General features: G+C 38.9%; 1 protein-coding gene across 2 annotated transcripts in view; it reads right to left on the bottom strand.

Annotated features, from left to right (window-relative positions):
• Window positions 1-6,617: 6,617 nt before the first annotated feature.
• LOC124902897 (uncharacterized) overlaps window positions 6,618-26,813 on the bottom strand; it is a 71,084-nt gene continuing 50,888 nt past the window's right edge. The window contains exons 2-5 of one of the 2 annotated variants that reach the window (XR_007063242.1): window positions 18,238-18,309; window positions 14,944-15,041; window positions 10,608-10,710; window positions 6,618-8,199 (exon numbers count right to left, since the gene is read on the bottom strand). Coding sequence is in view for 1 of the 2 variants with exons in the window: in XM_047429950.1 (XP_047285906.1) it covers window positions 8,014-8,199; window positions 14,944-15,041; window positions 18,238-18,309 (356 nt within the window). In the remaining variant the exon portion in view is untranslated. The remainder of the gene's footprint in view (window positions 8,200-10,607; window positions 10,711-14,943; window positions 15,042-18,237; window positions 18,310-26,813) is intronic. The other variant, XM_047429950.1, reaches the window with a different exon arrangement.

Genomic DNA, 26,813 nt, shown 5'->3' with positions numbered 1-26,813 from the left:
TGTGTGTGAACATGCACACTGCTGACCAGGTTGAAGGGTGGGGCAGGGCGAGGGGCAGAGGTTGAGTGTTGGAAGAAATAAGGACTGACTCATCACCTAAAGAATATTGAATTTAGTAGGGAGATTCTTAAGAAATGGTCATTTTAAGAATACTTACCTAATATGTATTAGTGAGAGAAAATTAACAAATTGTAGTATAAGTTCATAAGCACTAAAATAGCAAATCTTCTCTGTCTCCAACATAATGATAATCTACCACAGCCAACATACTGACTCCACCAAAAGTCAAGAGATTAAATTTTGTATATTTAGATATGGTTTTTAATTAGTGCTCTCTCGTATCCTGTGGTAGGCAGAATAATGGCCTCCCAAAAGATGTCTGTGTCTTAATTTCTGGAACCTGTGAATATGTCACATGATGTGGACAAAGGAACTTTGCAGATATCATTAAGATTAAGGACCTTGAGATGAGGAGATTAACCTGGATAGGTTGTATGGATGGACTCAACCTAATCACCTGAATCTTCTCCTTAAGAGCAGAGAAACATTCCCAGCTGAGGTTAGAATCAGTGGGCAATGTGACTATGGATGAATGGTTCAAGAGATGCAATATGGCTGGCTTTGAAGATGAAGGAAGATGGCTATAAGCCAAGGAATATTGGTGGCCTCTCAAAGCTGTGTCTTCCGTAGACTAAAAATGGCAAGGAAACAGATTCTCCCCTAAGTGCCCTGCTGACACCTTAATTTTAGCGCAGTGAGACCCATTGCAGACTTCTAACCTATAAGCAATATTGAGAACCCAAAGATAATACATTTGCATTGTTTAAGTTCGTGATACTTCGTTACAGCAGCAGTAGAAAACTAATGCAAACCCTCTCTGAAAGTCCTACCTGGGGAAGGACTTTCCCCTTTATTTACCATACAGTTGTTTTGTTCATGAACAATAGATGGTGCTAGGCATCCATGTTTCTAGTGTTGTCAGCCAGATCCTCTAATTTAACATAATTAAGACCATATGACAACAGTTGAAACATTTATTCATGAGTCTATAAATCACATTGTTACAGATTCTGAAAAACTGCATCAGAATAGTGATGAATGCAAGATGTTGGAGATTTGCTTGCTATAACTTAACAGTAACTACTTATTTAAAACCCAAAGAACAATGAAACCTATTTTCTCTTTGCTACATTGAATCATTTACCTCTCTTAAAAATGTTAAAATATAAACATCAACTCTCCTTCAAAACACTGAATGCCCCGAAGCAGCACAGAGTATGAAAGTGAATTGGAGGTCAGAAACTACAGGGAAAAAAATGTCTGCAATAGAAGTAATGCTGCTGTTGTTTGTTTTTTCATCTGTTGTGCGGTGCAACACTTAAGCAGCAAAAGATGACATTCTTTTTTTCTTGCAAATTATTCATTATATGTTTTCTTTAATTAATGTCGACTTTCAACAAATGCAACTTTGTGTTTTGTTCCTAGTGGACAAGGTTATATCTATTTGACTATTTTTTGAATAGTATAAAACATGTGTATATGTAGATTTTTATATTTGGTTGTTATAACTCTTAAAAGCATGATCTGTGCTGTGGTATTATGATGATTATTTAGAGACAGGGTCTTGCTCTGTCACCCAGGCTGGAGTACAGAGGTGCAATCAATCATAGCTCACTGAAACCCCAAACTCCTGGGCTCAAGTCATCTTCCAGCCTCAGCCTCCTGAGTAGCTGAGGTGTATACCAACATAATGGGTTAATTTAATTTTTTTTTTTTTTTTTTTTGTAGAGACAGGGTTTCACTATATTGCCTGGGCCTGTGATGAACACCTGGCCTCAAGAGATCCTCCTGCCTCAGCCTCCAAAAGCTCTGTGATTACAGGTGTGAGCCACCATGCCCAGCAATAATTTTTTTTTTTTGCCTCTGTTCTGTACTAAATTCTCTTACTCTAATTTAATAAAACAAGTGATTGATATCTTCAGTGTGATGATTCGTGTTGTATAATGCAGCATTTTGATACTCAAGCAAACCCATTATATTAAGAGGAAAAGATGGTGCCTTCTGGGCATGTAGGGAGCAATGTGTTTGGAGAGATTTAGAAACACTTGATGATCTCAATATCAGCTCAATCACTGTTTTCATTCCTTTTTCAAAAACAGTACATTAAATATACTTATTTTCTGAATAAAAGCAAACACAGCCCTGAAGGATGAATATCTTTCAACTGAAAGTGAAGGCACGCAAATACATACCCACTCAGAAAAACCACAAACTCATGGGAACTGAACATTTAATGCTCTGAAATTCTAAGACCACAGACTAGAAATATAGATAATGACAGGACTATCAAGGGGACGAAACATAATGTCAAGAAGACATCTCACTTCCGTCTAGGTAAGTGACTTCTTAATCTCTTCTAAGCACAGTTCAAGACTTTTCCTGAAAGCCTCCTCCACCACTCAAGGGCCAGTCCAGGAAGACATCGCTCCTCTACAGGTAAAAAGAAGGAATCACGGGAAAGACAATATATTTGCACAGTGACTACCCCAAATCACTGTTTATTCTGAGCACAACTGTTTTCTACTTGGGCTCTTAATTTAGTGAAATTAATGTTCAAAGAGACTAAATCATGTGACTAAAAAGAAATACAAGTCATTAAGGGCCACACACACATGAAGAAAGATATGCTTTAAAAATTACAATTAATTTGTAAAATCTACTTAAGGAAAGGAGAAACCAAAGCTGTGATTTCCTATTGAAGAATCAGGGAACTGGCAACAGTTTTAATTTTCAGCAGCGTCATAAAACAGGAGAGCATTTTATTGTAAATCCAATGTTGTGGGCAAAATGTTTCCACAAGCAAATATTAGAAATTTATAGAAATTATTTACGTTGTATTTGTGCGCTTCATAGGAGCAGCGTGAGGAATTATGTGTGATGAGTGGTAAAAGTGAAGTAGGGTGGGAGGGGGTAGGGGTGCAGAGATAAGATGGCCAATGGATGAGGCTGGTATCTAAGGGCTTATAAGAGATCAGTTTCATTTAAAACTGACTCAAATGACCACCAGAGGGACTCCAAAGTTCACTCATTGATTCTATACTTCAGGCAAGAACTGTTTTAGAAGATTCATACATGGTGTACTCATACACCATGCTAAATAGTTAAAATATAGATAAAACACAGCAATAGGTGTTAACCATTAATTCAGGGAAAGAAACTCAGTTGCTTAAAATTGAGAGCTTTCAAAGATCAATAGTGAGGGTAAGAAAAAACCCCAATAATCATCAATGAGAGATTTGTTAAATAGCTAAATTTGGTCTGTGTTCCCTGCTAACGATCTAAGACACTGTTAGGCAGGCAGGGTTTTATTTCTCTGGATTTTCAGTGTCTCTGTTCTGCCAGAAGATGTTGCTCCAATATAGCTAGGCTTTGGAGGACAAAGTAATGTGGCATGAAATGTGGGCAGACTGGGTAAAAATGTAAACTGTGCAAGTGTGTAGAATTAAGGCACAAAGATATCCATTATATGGGGAAAAGAGGGCCTTACTGTAGTATGTGTCCTCACTATAAATAGTTTAGCAAAATGTAAACATGAAATATTTCCCCAGTGATATTTGCAGCCACATAAACAGTAGCCCTACTTTTCTTTTCATTAAATCTCATTTCTTAATAAAGGGACTTCTGTAGGGTAAAATCTGGGCAAAACTGAATGATCTGTAACTTTTTTATAACCAAGTATAGTATACATAGAATAAAAACTGGAATTTAAAATCAGCAGTTTTCTTTTTTCTTTTCTTTCTTTCCTTTTTTACAAACACAGCTTTGCTTTAATGTATAAAATCCCATATGTTATAGAAACAACCACAGTGGGTACATTAAGGAAGACAAACTAACAAAGGATTAAGGAAAATGGAATACAGTTCTCTTTTCCATAGAAGTAGGGTTTCTTCTGATATTAGCAAGCAAAATTCAAACTGAATACTTCTTTTAAAAATCTTATGTATAGTCATTCAAAATTTTAAACCTGATTATTAAAAAGAATGTCTTTTAACTGAGTTAAAATGCGATTTCACTCACACTTAATCCAGAATATATTAATTTTACTTTCAAAATTCAGACCAGGGCAACTATTTTTTTAATGAAGATGTTTACACCACAGCAAGCAAAATAAATCAAGCATTTTCAATATAGGACTGCAGCTTACCCCGAGTGAGCTCAGCAAAGGTAAACAAACCAAGATATACTAAGACTTAGAGATAATCCAGTCTCCTTTTAGATACTAGGTCTCAACCTTCCTCCTCTTCATTTTTTTAGAAAAATAAAATTGGTAAAAATGAATCAATGGAATTTGTGAATGCCCTTTCCAGTTAGTTTTGCCAAGTTTACACTTACTTTGAAATTTTGGCCCAGGCATGATTTTGTCTAGAAAGTTTTCTCTGACTCCTAGGAAAAGAGACACTGAAAACAGAACAGAAACCCTGAAAATCTATAGAAATAAAACACTGCCTGCCTAACAGTGCGACACCCCATTGGTATTATAGAGTACTCTGTACCTGTTTCCGCCGTAGCATTTATTCTACGATAAACAGGGCCATGTCTTATTTGTCTAATGCTTGGCACCAGGCCTGCAAGGTAGACAGATGTTGACTAAATGTTCGTATGACTGAGCTAAAATGAAATTAATGAAGACTCAAAAAATAGGTCAATTAGTTCTTTGGCAATCAGTTTTCGGTTTCCTTCAATCGCCGATTGTAACAACCTTTGCAGAGCTTTGTAGAAAATCAAGACTCCTGCTTGTTAAAACAAAGCAAACCAAACTCTGCAGGGACAGACCTGATTAAGGAAGGCTGCCCCTAGTTGTGTTTGAATATTGTGTTGGGAATCAAATAGCTGCAGAAGAGGTCAGCGGGATTGTGCCTAGGGTTTGGAAGATGAAAAGGGAGAAAGTATCAGGGCTAATAACCAGATTTAAAAGCTCTGTGAGTTCCATGGGAAAAAAAAAAAAAAAACTTTGGAAGAGTGTGAAACACAGTCTGAGAATACATTTATTTTATTCTGTCTTAGATATGTGACTGACAGGACATATGGCGAAATACTTAATACTTGAACTCAGTTCAAGAATGTTAGGCAAAACAAAAAAAAAAAGGAAGAAAAAAGAAAAACCACATAAAATTGCCCTAATAGGTTTTGATTGTAGAACTGAAAAAAGTAATTACAAGACTTCAGTACAGTAACCTTTCAGGTCCAACTCAGAGATGTAATTTATTGTTTTAAACGTTTTACTTTCTCATTTTTTTCATTTTTCTAAGGAGAATTATTTTTTCCTCTATTGAAGCTCTATACAATCAGCCTTATTTCTGTCATCAACTCTGATATGTAAAGAAAAATTCTTGATCGATCCAGAGAAAATTCTGGTCCAATGATTAAGTCACAAAGCATTTTAAAAAGAAATGTTTGTGTTTATTTCATAAGTAACCATTTTCTATTTTATATGAAGGAGTTAAAAACTAGTGTATAATCTCATGACAGCTTTCATTGATCCAAAAAGAAACTCAATAACAGATTTGATTCTGTTTGGGAAGGAGTAAATTGCTTATTTTAAGGTTATTTCCTAACTATTTCTAGGCCCTTAAATTGTAGTGAACCAATAATCTGAACGATAAGCAAGCAATATTTCCTCAACATGGAGACTGGATCCTTAAACTAAGATAGCAGCCAGTGGAGTTGCCTTTTCCGTAGGGGAGAGATGTTAATAAATGGCTAAGTCTATGCAATACGTCGTGAAAGGGAGTTTTACACTTCGTATCTTTATTTAAGGGAAAACTTTTTCGTAATTAAGATTGTGATGTGATCTGGTAGAAAATTTTACACACTAATTAGATTAAGTGAAAAGCATGCAAATCTGTGTTAACTTTATGTTAAATATGCACAGACTATTCATTCAACAAATACATATTGAATGCCTGCTATGCGCCATGCATGTTCCAGGTACACTTGTCCCTCGGTGATATGGTTTGGCTGTGTCCTCACCCAAATCTCATGTTGAATTGTAGCCCCCATAATTCCCACGTGTTGTGGGAGGGACCCAGTGGGAGATAATTGAATCATGGAGCTGGTTTGCCCCATACTGTTCTCATGATAGTGAATCAGTCTCATGAGATCTGATGTTTTTATAAGGGGTTTTTCCCCATTCCCTTGGGTCTCATTCTCTCTCTTACCTGCCACCATGTAAGACGTGCCTTTCGTCTTCTGCCATGATTGTGAGGCCTCCCCAGCCATGTGGAACTGTGAGTCAGTTAAACCTCTTTTTCTTTATAAATCACCCAGTCTTGGGTGTGTCTTTATCAGCGGCATGAAAACGGACTAATACGCTTGGTATCTGTTGATTAGTTCCAGAACCTCCTTTGGATACCAACATTCAAAGATGTTCAAGTCCCTGACATAAAATGTGGTAGTATTTGCACATAACTTACATACATCCTCTCGTTTACTTTACATCATTGCTCTATTACTTATAATACCTAACCGAATGCAATGCTTTGTAAATAATGGTTATAACGTATTGTTAAGGGAGTAAGGACAAGAAAAGTCTGTATATATTCAGTACAGATGCAATATAAATTTTTTATTTTTAAATTTTATTTTTAATTTAAATTCAGATGGTACATGTGCAGGTTTGTTATATGGGTATATTCTGTGATGCTGAGATTTGGGCTTCTAATGAGCCCATTGCTCAAATAGTAAACATGGTACCCAATAGGTAGTTATTCAACCCTTGCCCTCCTTCTCAGATGCATTTTTTTTTTCCAAATATTTTCAGTCCACCGTTCCATCTCCACGGATGTGGAACCATGGATACGGAGGACTAACTGTACTTGGGATACATGAGTGAACCAGACAGACAAAGATCCCTGCCTTGTGAAGCTTGCATTCCAGCAAAGGGGTCACAGGATAAAAGCCATGTAGCTAGAGCCGAGTGAGCGAGGGGGAGGGAAGTAGAAAATAGGTCAAAGGAGTCTGAGGGGTCAGGATATGTGGGCTTCACAGGACACTGCTAAGGACTTTGATTAAACTCTCAGCAAGATGAGGGCTGCAACCTGGCTTACTTTGGAAAAGAATCCTTCCGGCTGCTGTTTTGAGCACAGACTGTACCAGCAGACAGGCCTGTTAGTTGGTAATTGAGTTATCCAGATGAGAGATGATGGTAGCTTGGACCAGGGTGGTAGACACGGAGATGGTAAGAAGTATTGAACTCTGGCTATATTTTGAAGGTAGAGTCAACAGGATTTTCTGCCAGATTAGATAGGGGCTGTGTGGGAGAGAGGTAAGGATAACTGGAAATACCGACAATATGGAGAATTGGAAGAAATGGGTTGGTGCAATAGGTATAGACAACTCTTCTGGGAAGAACTCATAGAGAGAAGAAGAAAGAAATGGCATTTTAATCATAGGAAATATGGGATCAGGAGAAAGTAATTTTATTTTTAATTAATTATTTATTTATTTTGAGACAGTGTCTTGCTCTGTCGCCCAAGCTGGAGTGCAGCACACCCTGCTAATTTTTGTATTTTTAGTAGAGATGGGGTTTTGTCATGTTGGCCAGGCTGGTCTCAAACTCCTAGCCTCAAGTGATCTGCCAGCCTTGGCCTCCCAAAGTGCTAGGATTATAGACATGAGCCACAGTGCCTGGTCAGTTTTAGATGGGAGAAATAACAGCATATGAATATGTGAATGGGATGATCCAGGAGAGAGGCAAAATTTAATGATGCTGTAGAAAGGGGAGAATTATTGCACTGATGTCCCTGTGTGGGCTAGAGGGGTCTAAGTGTCAAAAGTCCAAGTGGAGGGTCCAGCTCTAATAGGAAATGGAGTCTGGATGATTCATCTGTGAAAACTGTCAGGGAGAGAGCATATGTAACTGTGGGGGGACTGGAATTCTAATAAAGATCTGCTGGACACAGAGCTCAAGCTTTATGCACTTTGCTATGCTGCAGGAAGAGAAAATGGAGCTAATCATGCCATTAAACCACCCACTTCGACGACTGATATACTTGTCATAGTCCATGGAATGTAGAGAAGCATCATATTGTCTTGGAAAGCAGGGGCATCAGAAGACTTCCCGGATCTTCCATGGGGTGTGTGAGTTATCATTTGTAAAGTGAGAATGTGGTTACCCGTAGTGCCCTGATTCCAGGATTGCTGTGAGGATCAAAAGAAACAATATACATGGAAGTGCTTTAAGTTATGAAAAGATGTACGAAACATACTCTAATACTCAAGGGTAAACTGCCCCAAGTCCTTTGTACTTATTTCCTCTGTGTAGAATACTTCTCCCCTAGTTCTTTACACATCTCCCTCCTTTTTATCATTCCTGTCTCAGCTCAGTGAGGTCCTCTTTGACCATGCTGAAGCGATCCCCACTCCCCACTGCCTCAATCATTCTCTATCCCATTACTGTATCTTATTATCTTCTTAGCACTAATACATATTTAAAATGATCTTGCATAATTATTTTCCTGTTTATACATTGACTGTCTGTCTTCCCCTGCTGAAATGTACACATATAGGAGGGCAGGAACTTTGTTTTTTCTTCCCAGAGCCTAGAATAGTGCCTCACACATAATGAGTCTTCAAGAAATATCTATTGAAAGAATGACTGAATACTATTATTATCCAAATTAGAGATTACATTCCAAAATAAAATAACAATTTAAGGAAAATACTAAGAAACTGTTAGTTTTATTACTTAACTCTGCACAGCAATAATGAATGACTTTAATTCAGTGTAAGCTTCCAAAATAGTTCACCAACCATTCTCCTCTTCTGTGATTTCCCTCCAGGAGAAAAATCTTATTTGATGTGCTTAACAACTGTATTAATTCATCACCGTCACAAACATGAGAGAGTTGTAGCAAATTGCATATGTTTAGAAACATTCAATAAATATTAAGTAAAGAAAGGAGACCTCTCTCTTATTTTAATAGAGTTAGTGTCTCCCTTCTTAGAAAATGTTAATGTTCTTTTCTTATTTTACTTGATTACAATAAAGAAATACTATGACTTAAGAGAATGTCTAGGAAGGGAAGTGTACTCACAGTCTGGGCCCAAGGCCCAGTAGGCTGTTCTCCCTTCTAAAAAGGCTTTCAAGAGACAGTCTTTGCACCTCTTTAATCCTCACCAAGAGTTCATGTGATTGTGTATGACTCCTTTCATGTCATATGGACTGAGCTCTCAAAAATGTGAACTCATAAGTAGTGGTCATTAGGCCTTTGCTTCCAAAAATCCAGTTATTTTCCAGTGAGGTTACCAGGCTTCACACACCAGAACTTGTCACAGAAAAATTAACACACAGCTTTTGCTAATGGGTAGACAGGGAAGCAAAGTGAGAATTGACCCACTATGTTTAATAATAGGTGACTATAAAGCGATAAAATAGATTTATGGAAGGACTGTGGGCTAACTTTCCCCCTATGCCCCCATAACATTTCTTTACTTCCTATGTTAATAGATGTGGTGTGACTTGCAGGATTTTTTTGCAGCAGAAAATAAAATTTCTCTTATTTCAAATATTATAGCTATCTTGCATTCCTTCTTTCTTTTCTTCCTTTTCCCTTCCTTTCTCATTTCCTTCCTTCTTTCCTTTCTTCATCTTTCTGTCCTTCATTCCCTTCCTTCTATTCTTTCTCAGATGCTGCCTTTCTACATAATGAGACCTCTCAAGGAGACAGTAGTCCATCCTTCTTAGAACTTGCCAAGAAAGTAGAATAATTCTAAAGTAATAGAAAGTCTATCTTCGTTGCATTTCTGTTAGAAAGAGATTTCCATCATCTGTTTGCTTCCCTGTGTGAGCATTCAGAGCCCTGTTTGCAGCTGCAGAGATAAGAACTGTGAGTTTTGCTGTAGACTTGAGTCTGACCATGGTGATGGCCCACCAAGCAACAAAGGGAAAGAAAGTCTATAATTTTCCTTTCCTTCCCTACACTGGGGCACCAAAGTCTAAAAAGGTAGAAATTCTTATTGAATTCTCTTAATTACTGAGAAGATGTTTCCAAGGAAGACCATGTGGATTCGAAGCAATGAAAATCAAGTTCATTTTCTCGTGGAACTATAAAATGCAACTGCCTCATCATTTATTATCCATATTTCTAGCCTTTTGCAGAGCCTATATCAGCCCTTATCTCTTTGATTATAACTGTTTACCTGCCTTCCTCACTAGACTATGAGTCCTACAGAGTAAGTTATCTTAGTTACTTTGAATTCCCAGGGCTTGCATAGTATGGATCACATAATAGACAGTGAGTAAATGTTTTGGCAATGAATGAATCAATAAACGAGTTACATTCAAGTATACTTCTTACTGAATTCTGTGTTAAATTTGTGCCACACAATCTGTCACAGTGCCCCAGGACTGCCCATCCTCGGTCCTCCCTCTGTGGATTGGCCTGGAAAACTCTGTACTGCCTTTAGCAGATGGTGATATGTGAAAGGTACAAACTACAGACTAATTCACATCAAGTAGGTTTGCAAGAAACTTCAGTGCATGACCACCAGCAGGCAGAGAAAAATTCCAGAAACAAAATTGCAGATACATTTATGTAGAACATTACCGTTTTCAAACTGCTTTCACTCCCAAAGAAGTGATTCTGTCCAGATGTTTTTCAATATGAATGACACATTTCTGCAGAAGTATCAATATTTCGATCTCTTCTCCTTCATTAAAAAAAAGTAAAGCCAAAATTATTTATATAATTCTTCTTGGACCAGTCAGTTGTAGTTGATACCAAGGACACATAGTTTCTGATGATGGAGTTAAACTAGTAGAATATAGGACAGGTGTGGTTCAGTAGAACTTGCCCTGTCACCATTTCAATTCCATCCTCCAGGTTGGAAAAGAGTCATTATTTGGACACCTTATGAAATCAGGGCATGATGGAAGAAACGGATGGATGATTAACAATAGTACAGCTGTGCTTTTTCTTGTCATCAAATAGCAGTGTTTGGGTCCAGACTCTATTTTAAAAAAAGGAGGGGACAAAAACAATCTAGCAGTAATTTACAACAAACTCACAGAGCACACACGATATGCTCATAAACTGGCCCATAGTTTGTTGCCTGACCTCAGCAAAAGGAGGTCAATGTGATTTCATCACCCAGACCTCCACATTCAGAAGATCCGGGGGTGGATACGTTGCTGGCCATATACGGAATAAAAGTAATGATGTTAAGTTTTTAAAAGAGAATATATTGTAAACTGTTATTTCCTCATTGCTTTTGATAGAGGTTTTTGTTTATTTGTCACCCCTCTCCAAACAAAACAAAATCCAAGCCATTGAGGATGAGGATGGAAATCTTGTACAAACAGTACAGCTTTTCTTGAACTTCAATAGGGCCGAAGCAACGGAGATCTGCATGCCAAAATCAGTGCTCATATCTGTCTCATAAAATTTAGAGAAGACTGTAACTTATGCAATGTAGATTATAAGATGAATTGAAGAATGATAAATCAGATCAATCTGGCACAGGGCATCCTGAAGAATAGGTTAATAGGTATACATTGAAATTCTATCACATGACTGAAAGCTAAAAATTAGTTAGATAGGAGAAATAAGGTCAAGAAATCTATTGCACAACATGGCGACTATAGTGAGTAATATACTGTGTTCTTGAAAAATGCTAAGAGAGTGGATGTAATGTTCTCACCACACAAATGATAACTACATGAAGTAGCGCATATGTTAATTGGATAGATTTAGTCATTCCACAATTTATATATATTTCAGAGCACCATGTTGCACACGGTAAATACATATTATTTTATCTGTCAATTCTTTTTTTAAGAAAGTTAAAAATCAGCCATTAATTTCCTTTGATTTACCTCTTTTCTTCAGTTTCAGTTTGAAATAGCAGCAACAATATATAGACTTTGGGTATAAACTCATCTTTCCCAAGGACAAATGGTCAGTAAGGGAGGGTCCACATACATACATTTATCCAATTTTGAGGGCAATTCATTTTTTTTTTTATTGTTAGGAAGAATCTTGATTGTGAAGGTGGTTTTTAAAGCAATGGCTCCTGAAATCCTCCAGAATAAAGCAGTAACATACTGTTGCATATATAGATTTTTAAAAATCAGATTTGCAGGGTCAAATGATCCTTTGAAAGAAAGTTAATTTTATGTTAATATGATTCATGTAGTCACAATTATCCAGGTTACTGAATCAGACTTCCGTTTTCCTTTGCCTGAGAAGTAGCGTGGCCTCTTTTTATGATACAGTTCCCCTTGAGCGTCCCAGTAGGTTATCAAAGTGAACAAACACTTAAACCTTCTCCAAGCCCCACCTGCTGAAATGGAGTTTTGTAGAACTTGGCATTGGCATTCAGTTATAGTCAACTCCTGATTGGTTATGTGGGTGGATAATATTGATTATTAAGATTAAGCTGGGCTGGGTGTGGTGGCTCACACTTGTAATCCCAGTACTTTGGGAGGCTGAGGCTGGAGGATCACTTGAGCCCAGGAGTTTGAGATCAGCCTGGACAACACAGTGAGACCCCTGACCCCCATCCCTACACACATAAAAAAAAAATTAGCCAGGCATGGTGATGCACACCTGTAGTACCAGCTACTTAGGAGGCTGAGGTGGGAGGATCACTTGAGCCCAGGAGGTTGAGGCTGCCGTGAGCTGTAATTGCACCACTGCACTCCAGCCTGGGTAACAGAGTGAAATCCTGTCAAAAAAAAAAAAAAAAAAAAAAGAAGAAAAGAAAAAAAGAAAAAGAAGAAAAAGAAATAAAAAGAAAAAAAGATTAGAGTGATTTTTTTTCACTCAGGAACCTTAATCACAGAGAATAGACTGGAGGTTAGACGTATTGGCCAACGTAGCACCAAGAGAGAAGTTTCTTGATATCTTTTTATTCTTAATATAGGGGAATTGTGCTTTCAAGTTTGTCATGTATCTGTGGGCAGTTTGGTGTGTCTTTAAACAGACAATTGGATTTCTTTAATCTTTTTTTGTTTTTTTTGACGGAGTGTTGCTCTGTACCCCCGGCTGGAGTGCAGTGGCATGATCTCGGCTCACTGCACCCTCTGCCTCCCAGATCCAAGTGATTCTCCTGCCTCAGCCTCCCGATAGCTGGGATTACAGGTGCATGCCACCATGCCTGGCTAATTTTTGTATTTTTAGTAGGGACAGGGTTTCACCATGGATTTCTTTAATCTCATGTAAAGTGCTGTGCAAATGCAGCTCAAGTCCATTTTTCTAGCCAAATAGCTCCTTCTGATTCCAAAAGCAGAGCCTGAGACAAGGACTTGGGTACAGGTAGCATTTTGGAAGGTGAGAGATTCGGGAGAGTGAGACAAGAAAGACAGAAATTCAATAAAGTATGTGTCTCTGAGCTGCTTGCTGTTGTGGACAATAGGGGCTTCAGCTTTTCAAGAACCATGTACATTGCTTCTCAGAATTGTTCCTCTGAAGGACATGGAGGTGAGGCACTTAGCTCTCATTACTGTGAATTCTCCCCAGGGTCATTCTCTCCTGCACTTCTGGGTTTGCCCTCTGGGCAGCTTGAGCAAGCTCTAGAGGCCTTGGGAAAGAGCTTGAGACTAGAAAGCTGAGAGACCATGGGCACTCAGGCTGGGAGGCTCTTGGTTTACATGAGAACTGCACTGCCCTCCCTGTTGCAGGTACAACCCAAGGTGAATTGAGAGGAGACACTGTGGAACACCAAAAGCATGCACTTCATCCTTCTATGTAGACTTTTTGAGCCATAGCTGAATAAATTTTATTTTAGTATATGTTTTCCTTAATGAACATTCTAGTAAAACGGATACTCCAGGAAACATGTTGATCCTGGGGTGTTGAGTAGGCCTGGCATACCCATTTAGAAGGCCAGAAATAAACTTGGATTTGGAAATCATAGTGGGATATGCAACTTGCCTAGGAGTTCTCCAGGGATGGTGGGCACAAGCAGTACTCAATGGTGCCAGGAGGGAAGGTAGCTTCAAACTTGTTTTTCGTCTGTCCCCTTAAGCCTTCCCTTAGCTTCTCCAGATTATATTCATCTCTCTCTTTTAGTTTTTAACCATAGAACTTGGAGTTTTATTACATTTTATTTTATTGCTGAGAACTTCTCGTGGCTTGAGATATGACTGTGGATCACACAACTCATAAGATCAGAAGCCTGACCCAGGCTCTCTAATTCCAAGCCCAGTGCAATTTCTGTTAACCAAGGTTACCCCAGAGAAACAAAAACTGGCTGAAAGATGGAAAATATGTCCAGATGAAGGTCTGTTTGATCAAATAGTGTGTTACGCACATTACAATGTATTCACAGGCTGGGGAGCTTTCTCAAGAACAAAGAGTCCAGAAAATTAGTCTGCAGAAGGCAGTTTGGGGTTTGGTCTCTGTCACCGAAGGGAAGAGGTAAAAACATTTGTTGAGTGCTTGCTCTAAGGATGGTGTTAGCCTAAGCCATTTCTGTACAGTTGATTATTGTTACTCACAGTAGTTAAATTTTATAAAGTCGCTGTAAACTCTGAAATAGCAAATACTGAACCACTGCTCCTAAGGGAAATACAGGGTTAGGTTCCTGCAAGCCTCTGGTCACAGTATTGTTGTTAATTGGTCAATACATAACCATGTTTTATGTATGTTTCTGTTTAAGGACAGAAATCAACATATATTGTTGATTCATTACATTGAACTCTTGGCCAACAGCACTACAGCTTCATGCCTGAACATAGCTTATCTAACACATTTTCTCTAGAAGGCATGTCACAACCTTCTTGCACTTAGGAACACTAGATAGCACTTCAGCACTATGTTTGTGGAGGCATTATGAACAAAGAAATTACAACAAAACCCACAAAATGCAAAAAATGTGGCACTAAAGAGACCATGAAAAAGACACTTGTTTACAGTATGAGAGCTGAAACAAGAGGCATACCTGGTTCAACCTCAGCTGAACGTGGATTCCAGGTGACTCAATGTTTTTCCCCACTCTGTGCATGTCTGAGAATGACCACAAAGGCTCCACAAGCATTGCTTTTGAGATTACAAATAAATGTTAGCAAGTAGGGGAATTTGCAAATAGGGAATACACAAATCATGTAGATTGACTATATGTATCTCATTTAATCTCCATAAAAACCTCTGAGCAATATATTGCATTTCCCTCCACTTATAGGAGAAAAAAGTGACATAACTGGCCCAAAGTCACAAAGCTAATGTGAGGGCAACAGGAATTTCATAGTTATTGTTGTTTTCCTTTTTCAATTTAACTGTAAATAACTCAATATGTATCTTAAAGATAATGACTCTTCTAAAGACATTAACACAATGCCATTATCGCACCTAAAATAGCAGTTTCTTAATATGAAAAAGTCACCGTTAGTTCTCCAATTTCTTCCTAAGTCATTCTTTTACAGTTGGTTTGGGGGATATGTCTCTTAATTATCTTTTAACTGGTAAGTTCTACTTTTTTCTCCCTCCCCCCACCCCTTGTAATTTATTCATTGAAAGACAAGGCACATTGGGAGGCCAAGGTAGGAGGATTGCTTGGCCTGAGGAGTCTGAGACCAGCTTAGGCAACATAGCAAGACCCCATCTCTACAAAAAAATTTTAAAATGAAAAATTAGCCGGGCATGGTGGTGAGCACTTGTAGTCCCAGCTACTCAGGAGGCTGAGGTGGGAGGATCACTGGAGCCCAGGCTGCAGTGGGCTATCATTGTGCCACTGCACTACAGCCTGGGTGGGAAGGAAGGAAGGAAGGAAGGAAGGAAAGAAGGAAAGAAGGAAGGGAGAAAGAGAGAGAAAGGAAGGAAGGAAGGAAAACACAATCATTATCTTTTCTGTGTTTCCATTTTCTCCCCAACAGCAACAAAGCTCATAAAAAACTTGAGGCTCAACTTTAGTAATCATGAAAGATCTTGTTAACATAGCTAGCACAATACCTGTTTTCTTATTTGCTGCCTGTTCTCATCTTTCCATTCTATTCCTATTGTCTCTTCATTAAGTTTCTTTCAATCCATTTATATTTTTTCCATGACTGTATTGCATGCATTATTATAAACCATCTCAAAACATTTTTCTTTGCATATGCAAGAATATTCCTATAGACACATATATGGAAACAAACTTGAGTCCACTTGGCTCTAAAGCCGAGGTTTTTCTATTCTCCTTGTTGTCAACCTCTGGGCTTTATTTTCTCACCAACCTCTTCTGGTAAATGGGTATGCTAACAATATTTACTCTCTTGCTAGAGTTGCATTTGGAAGAAAGAAGATGGTCTATGAGTCTGACACACATACTTAAATACTAAATGTTTGCTGAATGAGAGATTAAATGAATGATTAAATGGAAATGCATCCTAAACCACAATAATGCTATGTAAGTGTTGTTAAAAATTACAAATGATTGAATAAAACAGTCTGAACAGAGAAAACAGAATTCCCTCTCAGGATAAAGTTGTTATTGCTCACTTGTAAAGCTAACTTCATTAAGGAAGCAGATGATTTAAGGCTGTGGGTTTTTCCTTTTCTTCTCTTTCTCTGGTCATTTTCTTGCCCATGAACACTACCAGGATAGAGGAGTAGAGAAAGGAGGTAAAAGGTCAGCTGATCTTGCCTTTCTGTTGAGGATCTGGAAGGCAGTTTTTGCCAGGGAAAATGTATAAAGTTATTGAGATTGTTGTTGTTTTCTTTGAATTTCAATTATCTATATTTTTTTCTGTCCTTCACACTAAAATGTAAACTTCATGAGGGTAAGAGTTTGTCATTTTTTTTATTGTCTATTTCCTTTCCTAAAATGGATCCTGATTAATAGGTGCTCAATAAATATTTGTGGAACTGATTCCTAGATGTCGCTGATGCCTTGATTATAGTTAGATCTGGTTTATGAATGCAATGGACAGGCTAGTCACAGTGCTGGCCAAAGTTCACCCTTCCTTCTAACAGAAGTTGTCATGCTCCTAGTTTTCTCTACAAGGAAGATGTCTTAAGCTTTTTCCTAAGCAGGGGTGGCCATGTTTTATAAATCTCCTCCATCTTCCATCTAAATATATGCACCTGAACCAAAATTAGTCAAATTCATAGTACTGCAAGTGACATATAAGCAGTACTCAAAACCTCACCTGAAGAAGCTCGATGATGGGAAAACCATGAAGGGCCAAGAGAAAACTAAAGCTGTGAGTAAGCCAAAGTTATGTGTATGCAGAAGCTATAAAAATAGAAACCAGGAGATAGTAAAGAAAAGGCATTTGGTCAAGGGTGACAAATTTGGTTGGTAATGACAAGAATGGGTAAAACAAAGACAGAGATGGGTTGAGTGACTTAATGGCAAAGCTTTGATAAGTTTCTATGCCTTAGGAGGTGTCTTAGGTCAGGTTTTCTGGAAACAGATTTGAGGTGGGAGATTTGTGTGCAGGAAGAGAAAGGGAAACAGAATTAGGCAAAAGGAGAGAATGAGTTCTGATGCAACAGAGCTACACCTGATCTAATGGGAGTTCTGGAGTTGGGATGGCCATCAAAGTTGTGTCTGAGTGAAGCAAGGGGCATAGACCAGTCCTTGTACATGGGCTGCTTCCTATGGAGGTTCATAACCTTGGGAACTGGTGGCTCGCTTTGGCCAAGGGCGATTCGTGCAGAGAGTCTCCATGATTAGGCATCACTCACAGTAGTGGGGAGGGGAGGTAGGAACCTTAGTCTTGAAAGGGAGATCCGAGCATTGAACCCTGGTATCCACAACATGAAAGTGTCAAAATAACTCCATTTCCAGCACTGTCTTAGATCCCTCTTGTTTTTTTCTTTTTTTTTCCATGGAGTCTCACTCTGTCACCCAGGCTGGAGTGCAATGGCCCAATCTCGGCTCACTGCAACCTCCATCTCCCAGGTTCAAGTGATTCTCCTGCCTCAGCCTCCTGAGTAGCTGGGATTACAGGGGCCCGCCATCACATCCAGCTAATTTTTGTATTTTTAGTAGAGATGAGGTTTCACCATGTTGGTCAGGCTGGTCTCGAACTCCTGATCTCAGGTGATCCACCCGCCTTGGCCTCCCAAAGTGCTGGGGTTACGGGCATGAGCCACCACGCTCGGCCCCCTCTTGGTTTTAAACTATACTTTTATCTCTGTGAAGCCCCGACGCATGGCTGTTCTTAGCTCCCCCAAATATTCCTGTCTCGGTGTTGTATATATACATACCTGCATATAATTACCTCTCCTCCCATTTCTTCAAGTTGCTTACCTAACATAAGAAGTGCATCCTTTCTATCAAGCACTAAGGAGACGGGCACGAACATTAAAGGATGAATGCTGGCTGGAAGAATACAATTAATATAATCAGCTTTAATATTAATAGACCCACTAACATTAAATCAATACTGAACCTTCCTATTTATGAATGAATTCACTGAAATCTATGAATCCTGTACCTACATAATGGATATTGATTCTTTCTTTATGAGAAGTTCAGACTGTGGAAAAGCCATAAGGGCAAGGTTTGGATTGATTTCTGTAAGTAAGAGAGATAATCCTAAGAAAGTTGCAAAGGCCCTGAAGATACACAGGCTGAAGTGACAGAACAATTTTAGGGAAAGTCTGTCTGCATGGCCTATTGGTTTCAGGATGACCTTTGGAGCTAGAAAGGCCCAGACATGATACCACCACTGTATTACCTTGGGCAAGTCCCTAAACCACTCTGAATTTCTGCCCTTCATTTCTAAAATCAAGATTGCAATACGTTACCCAAAGGGTTGTTGTGAGAACTAAGTGAAACAATATATGTCTCCCATGATAGTGCTTGGTATGTAGTAGCCATCCTTTTACCATTATCGCAGCCAGTTCTATTGACTGCCTGGACTCCTGATTCGTCTTGCCATGCAATTGAATGTAATGAATACTCTTGGGTATGGTTCTTCCTTATCCTTCAGCCAGATTCCAGTGGCTCTAGAGCTGCTCTGGGAATATACAGTGGGAAAAGTATCCAAGGACCTAAATAGAACCCTTAACTTAGCCAAGCCTTCCCAGTAAATTAAAATGGGCCCAAGAATTTCCTTGCCTGCCTCAGCCCCTTACAAATGGCTCAGACTGAGGGCCTCTGCCAATGGCTCAGCTCTGCGAAGATCTGGTTAATTCAGCAACACTCCTGGGTTATAGTATGCTGGGTCTCCTTTTCCTCCTTTGGTCTAGGTGCATCTCTTGAACTCTTCAGAATACCAGGAAGATTCCTTGAACTGTTACTGAACTCGCCAGGAGTTTGTCAAATCACTGTATCCATGATGGGTGGAAGTTCCATAAATTGTCGGCTTCTAGTTTCCTTGCTGGGCCCTTCAGGTGCTAAACTGTTACAGTTCCATAGCCAGAGCTGGATCTCTAGGATGGTGAACTTCGGTCAGAACATTAGCTCCAGGGAATAATATTTCTGGTTTTAGGCCAGTCCTGTGACAAAAACTGTAAAACCCCCAGGAGAACGAGGTGGTGAACACCGACACTCTGGGGGACCATTCCAATGGCCTGCATTCAGGTCTGTGGTCTCCAGGCACAAAAAGTAATCCTGATATGATGTGTTCTTGTAATCTAGGGAAGGCCTTTAAAAAATGTTGGAACAAATAGTGTCCCAAATTGGTTCCGTAATTAAGGTATGCAGAGCTCGGCTTCAAAGATCCCTTCTGCCTGTTTTAAGGGATGCTGTTAGTGAGCACATAATTGTATATAGTAGCTGTAGAGCCATTACAGGAGCTTAGTCTATACAGAAAGCTTTGGATATTAGGTGCTTCTGGGACATTGCTTCTACGGTAATGTCTCATCTGCAGATATTACCCCAAATGTGCACTTTTCCCCATTATATTTTATTTTTTAAAGCCAGAGAGTTTGCATTTGGGTACAGTTTTGTAACAGGATGAATAGGTACCCAAAAGATACTTCGATAGCTATGAAAGGTAAAAACATAATGAGAAAACTAATAAAGATTTCAAGGATACAATTCTCATGACCTGTTACAGTTGCGTGTGGGGTAGAGAAGCAGCACTAGGATGGCCCCAGAGAGGGAACATTCTATTTTGTTTAGAGTCAGCCCTATGCCAGACACTGTTTTAGGCACTTTATCTTATCCTGACTAGGTCAGGATAGTAGGAGATTGGAAATTCAAAACAAGCTGGGGAGTTTTGTTTTCCCTAAAGGTTTTGGTGGAAAACAGATTAAACATGGGACCATGATTAAGAGAAAACCATTGAGGACAATGATTCGATTCCTTCTGGACAGTCGGTGTCCAGCCCGTATTAGTTGAAAATCTTTCTTCCTGTTTTGTAATGAATATGCCCTTAATATGTAAAAATTATCAAACAGTTGAAGAGTAAAACCAAATAACCCGAAGCAGTGGCAGGGTTAATGAGAAAAATAATCCAAATTCCTTGCTTAAAATGGCTAATTTTAAGTAGTAAAGGAATTATTATTATTATTATTATTTTAGTAGACACTAAATCATGTTCGAGTCCCGCACCCCCCAGCCCCCAACACACACACTTTTAACTTTTATAGTCTAATCTGTTGCATAACGGACCACATACAAAGACTTGGTTAAGAAAACCTCCTCCCAGCCTGTTGCAATATTTATAAAGCCCTTGCTTTTTAACACACTGTGAGAAGGGCTTAATAAAACAAAGGGCATCATAATTTATTGTTTTAAGATTATTGATTCAATAAATTAACAATAATTTCCATGAAGGGTAGGAACCCTGGTGCCATAAAAGTTTATTTATTCCTCCTTTAACTAGCATTGATTAGAGTATTCAAATTGTCCCAGTACTCTGTAATCACTCTTTATAGGTGAAATGCCCTCCGCTGTGCAGGAGACAGTAAAATAAACATTCAACCAGAAGTGACAATGGTGCCTTTAAAAACAAGAAACACTTGATTTTTTTTTTCCTTCAAAAGGAAAGGAATAGTTCAGATAGTGCTTTTAATACAGGCTGTGTGCCTATTGGACGCTGCTCCCTGATATGCTGCAATCACAAATTGTAAGAGGCTATTGCAATTGTTAGCAAACAGGTAGGATCTAAATGGTGATATTTATATCCCATAACTCCAACTAAGAGATCTTTTTGCTGTTGTTGTTTGGGTTTAAAGTATCACTCCACATTGCATTTAAGAACTAGGTGGATTTTTTTCCCCACAAATATATTGTTTCAGTGCTTTTGTTTCTCAAGTGGTGACTGAACCTTCAAGGTGAGGTGGTGAGGGCATTGTAAAACTGTTAATAACTTGAACAAACAGGTACTGCTTTTTATTTCACAGCCACAGTGCAGATTCGTTGGAAGTAACTATCTGAAGGAATGAGAACAATGGACATCGAAGGCCTGCACCTGGGTTTCCCCTGTCCTCAGGACCAATACTTACTTCATTAGCATACTAATATGATAGGGTCATCTTTTGCTTTCATATATTCACCCATGCTGTGTCTCTTCTCTCTTTGGCGTCTGGATAACATGTTTTTATTTTTGAGCTTCAGTGCTGTATTTTTCAGTGTGATTTCTTTTCTTTTCCAACCAACAAGAAGTCTGTGTCCTGAAATATGACTTAGAACCAGGCATTTGCGGTAATTAATAAAGTGAAATGAAATAAAATACAATAAACCTCTTAAGTAACTAAAGGCTTATGATTTACATAGGCTTTAAATGATTGTTGGTGTTAAATTGTTTCTCAGAATGCAACTCAGGAATTTGAAGTTGTCAGATTAACTGCTGTATTTACTGGTCTGTTTGATTAGGTGAGCATAGTTTATATTCCCTCTTGGAGACCTAAATAGCAACCATTTCCTACCAAAACAGCACTGAGAACAAAGGCCCCATTCACAGGGCAGTGGGCATTGCTCTGTAGGCCTTTGTATCTGAAACAGCATGGTTACTAAGTACCTCTAAAAGGAAAAGGTGCAACTAATTTTTAAAATGTACACGTTAACAGGCAGAAAAAGAATCACATTGCATACCAAACAAATGTATTCCATGGAAAATGAATGGAGTGTTTTTTCTACTGCAGGCCTTCTTTCCAAGGCTGTAATAATAAAAAAAAATGATGGTGGTCATTTTTGAAGGACATCGGACAACAGAAAACCAACATTGGCAGGCATACTCTGGTCTCCTCATTTTCACTATTTGCAAACACCCTCAGGATGGATTCACATATTTTTGGTCAATAACCATCCTTTTGAGAACTTCCTTAGGCTGGGCTCTGTACTAGGCATTGGAGGCATACAGTCCAATAAGCCCTCTCCTTCCTTTTCTCCTTAGTCTTATTACTTACGTTTCAGAGTTCGAATGATGTCATGGCATTGGTTGTTTCAATGACAAAGATAGAGTACAGGGGAGGGATAGCTTCTTGGAGAAGATGACCGCTAAGCTGAGTCCTAGAGGCAAAGGCTGGGGCAGGAAATCCTGGTAGAGGGAATCACACCAGCAAAAGTTGGGAAATACCAGGGTCTGTACAGGAAGCGACAAAAAGCTTCTTCTTCTCCTTCTTTTTATTTTTTTTTTGATATGGAGTCTTGTTCTGTCACCCAGGCTGGAGTGCAGGGGCACGATCTCAGCTCACTGCAACCTCTGCCATCCGGGTTTAAGAGATTCTCTTGCCTCAGCCTCCTGAGAAGCTGGAAGTACAGGAACACACCAACCTGCTGGGCTAATTTTTATATTTTTAGTAGAGACTGGGTTTTGCCATGTTGGCCAGACTGGTATGGAACTCCTGACCTCAAGTGATCCTCCCACCTTGTCCTCCCAAAGTGCTGGGATTACAGGCATGAGTCACCACGCCCAGCCGAGGAAGCTACAAGAGGCTTCTGTTGCTGAGTCATGAAGTGGACTGCAAGAAGATAAAGAGAAAGGAGATAGCTGGATCCAGAGTCCCTCTTGTACCATGGTAAGTAATTTGGACTTGATCCTGTAGGAGACTCTGTGATCCTTGGAAGGGTTTTGAGGGATACAGAGACAGATAAAGCCGGCCAGTCTGCACAATCCAAACTCCCAAGAGATGAATTGGTCAGCTGTTCGTTTAGGGTCCCAAAGCAAATCTCATCACACTGGTCAAATGTATTTTCTGGACCTTTCTTTTCTCACTTCACTGTCTACACTGTTTGAATTCACCAGATAGCCACTCAATATTTCACTTTTCTTGGAAAGTTACTGCATCAATCATTAAGAGAAGTCATTTGTTACCTACGAAGACTCACAGCCATCATATTATTGGGGATTTCTGAAAGGATAATATGGGATAACTCCAGATCCTTAGTGTCCTTAGAGCCTTAGGAGTTTAAAGGAAACTCAAAAGCATTCTCCAGAGGAATAGGGGTAATGAAAAATTATGCACGAAAAGTTTTTGAAACTAAATAAACACAACCTGGCCTCTCTCACCTCAGCTGCCATATTCTGATAGTTATTTTCCCTTTACAATGCAATAAGAGTAAGGGGATATTTCAGTGAATCACATGCTCTTTCAGTTACATATATTGGAAAAACACACTCTCTTAACATAACTGGTATGTCATTCAGAAGTAAAATATTTAATTTCTGATCCCAAACTGATCACTTCAGCTAGCCATGTGGGTTGGCAGGACAGTTGTGTACATTTGCCAAGATTCCAACTTTTTAACCTCTGCAGTGGAATCATCATTCTACAATGGGAGAACTACATATAGGGTAGAACAGGAAATTGGCATATCAGTTGAGTCTGGACTCGATTTTCCTCTACCCTGTTGTTTTCACCACTTCTATGAGGATAAATATCATCTTGTGTGCTTGCTAGGTATGCAGATTACCAGACTTGTTCCCTGTAAATTTTGGTGCAGAGAGTCTGTTTCACGGCCCAGGAATCCATTTTTACTAAGCACTCCAGGTGTTCATGATCTTTAGGGGACTTTGGGAAACATTGCAAAAATGATTAAGTAAATTGAGTAAAACAGCATTCTTCGACTTACTGTATATTATTAAGCTTTAAATGGAACACTGTAATATAGGGCTTACTGAGCATCAAAATAATGAGGAGATGGTTGGGGTTATACATTTTATAATTTTGCAAGCCATTTTAGTAGAAGGAATGATGGCAATATAAAAGCAACTGTGCCAAATTTTTTTATTGGGTCTCCAGATCATTTTACTAAAGTAAGTACTGCCGATTAGGTTGGGGTAAAAAAATGTGGATCGGGCTATAATATTTTCCTTTCATTACAAAGTGAAACAGATTTATTGGCACTTTGGTTAAGAAAAATAAATTATTTGTTTATTCCAAAGACACCTACTGCCTGCTTATGACAATAAAAGTCATCGTTTGGGTCTATGGCAACTGCTATGTAATCTTTCTCATTGACACTATGTCTCAATATAAGCCATTAAAAATTGAAACTCATTTAAGGTACAAAAATATGCTTTCCAGCAATGGTTTTTAAGCTATTTTTTGTGGCAGCTGAACACTTTTTTTCCAAAACCCGATATAGTTTCCAATATAGAAACAAGTTAGGAGCAGCTATGTTTTCAGCAGCGGCTGCGGAGTAGGGGGAGGGTTGTCTACCGGGTTTTCCCAGCTCTGACCAGATTCGTCAGCTAAATCAGCACCTTCCTAATTTATCAGCCTCTCTGTGGTAGACGAGGAGAGTTCAAGTCTTTAGGATAACAAAAAAGTTGATGTTATATGACAAACGATGTTATGGTAACTCCTGCAACACCTCCAGTAAATGAGCAGGACAGAGTTTGAAAACCTTTGCTTGAGTTTTTCTTCAGAGATGATAGCCTTGGTTCATTCAGCCAACACAGTGCCTACCACATACTAGATACCAATGAAAGTTTTACTGCGAGTATTTTAATAGTATGTTAACACAGTGTCATAGATTTTTCAGAGTTTCTATTCTTTCACAGAGAATTATTATGATCTTAATAAAGCACAGAGGACCTGTGGAGGAAATGGAAGAAAATGTTTCTGCCCAACTGATAAACATGTGCATGCACTTTCAGAATAACGTCCCACCAGTAACAGTGATATCCTAACTTTGTGTGTGGGCAGCCTCTGGTGTGCAGCAAGATGGACTGGGATTAGAAGGCAAGACTGTTTCTGTTTAACTTGCTTTGCGCAGTGCCGTCTGCAGGTGGGCACTCAACAAAAGCTGCCAGTCTTAGCATCCAGAGATGTGGTTGTGATCAGTCATCATATTATTAAATTATTCATCTCATATTAAGTGACCACAATTTCAACATTGGCTTCTCTTGACAGATGTACAATTCATATAGACGATTGGAACTATATTCGGTGCGTGCTGTGATTTCATTTGCAATGCCACTCATAGTGGAAGAAATATGCCACACTTTTTTAAGCAAACAGGCTTCTTTTCACAGTGGACAGAGAATACTGTTAAACAGAGGAAACACAATATCCCTTTTCATAGCAAGAGATCAAATGTCTGCAGAAGAGTTTAATTTATACTTCTCCATGTGCCAGAGCCCAGTCTGAGACATAGCAGCATTTAAGTCCTTTCAATCAGGGCATAGTTTCCACCCTGGATGACTTCATCTCTTTAAAAATAGAATAAATGGAATTCAACATTATACTATGGGTAGGGATTATAGGAAATTAAAAGACATATAGTGCTCAACACACTAAATAATTGTGACATTGAGCTGGGAAAATAGTACTTCTGCAGAAAGTCTTTTCTGGGTATTATTTGTTAAAAAGGTTTTCTCTAGCTTTCTGGGAGAGTAGGAGAAAAGTATTGCAGTGTGGACCAGGAAGTAACTTTTATACTATGTGTGCTCAAAGTTTTTCCTCTTGAAAATATATGTAAGCATTAAGTTAGATCAGAGGTGCAACTTGAGTTCACGGTCCACCAGTCCTGCTGTCCGAGTCTTTCTGGATTCTCTGGTTTTGAAAGATTCTATTGGAGAATCTTTGGTTTTGCTGTGTTGATGATGATATGCTGAAAGTCAGCAATCTGCAGACTGTGCTCATCTGAAGTTTGTTTAGATACAGGTAGAGAGGTTAGGAGGAATCCCGTTTGGCTCAAAGAAGGCTCTGAGGTTAAAATATGATAGCATACTCTACGAACATCCTAAAATGTAAGCATGCAACATGCCCTGAGTTGTTTTTATAAAAACCAGAGTTTGTTTGTTGGTTTATATAGAAATTACCAAGAAGAGGCAAAGCTATGATGTTGAAAAGTAAAAGGGAAGCAAATTGTTCTCTGGAGGATCTTTTCATCACAGCTTACTTGCTGGCTGACTTTTGACATGACTTAAATGGTTATGTACGTGAGGTAATGTGATGTGTGATCCTAATAAATGAATATACACACCAGACCCGCCTGCAAGGGGTATATTACAAATAAGTCTTCTGTTGATGAATGATGAAAATACAATACCTTCATTTTGTTGTGCTCTCTTTACAATCATGTCTGTGGCATTAAATGGTTGCAGTGTTGAGATTTGCTCGCCTTTTAAAAAGAGCTCAGTGAGTAGGCTTTCCCTTTAGGAAGATTACTGTGGGAAAAATGGGGGCTCTGAGAGAGAGCAAGTACAAATCCATTGCAGGTGAGCCAGCACAATTTAATCACATAGTATATATTATAATACATCCCTAGGAATTCATGTTTGGTTTGAATTTGCCTGCCCAATCGGCCATAAGGAGATAGAAATGGCTTACAGTGGTTTCTGGTGCCTTGAGCTGAGTGTATGCTACTTTTCTGTTCACACATACTCAACAAAGGAGGCGGCAGCAGCTGCACAAAAGAGTTCTAGGGAGAGAGATGTACAGGTAGGAGTTTTTAAATCTTGACATCCTGATAAGATTTCA

The sequence above is a fragment of the Homo sapiens genome, chromosome 12, assembly GCF_000001405.40.
Source record: "Homo sapiens chromosome 12, GRCh38.p14 Primary Assembly".
NCBI lineage: Eukaryota > Metazoa > Chordata > Mammalia > Primates > Hominidae > Homo > Homo sapiens.
Note: the sequence above shows the minus strand (reverse complement) of the source record. Positions and strands in the feature narration are given on the sequence as shown.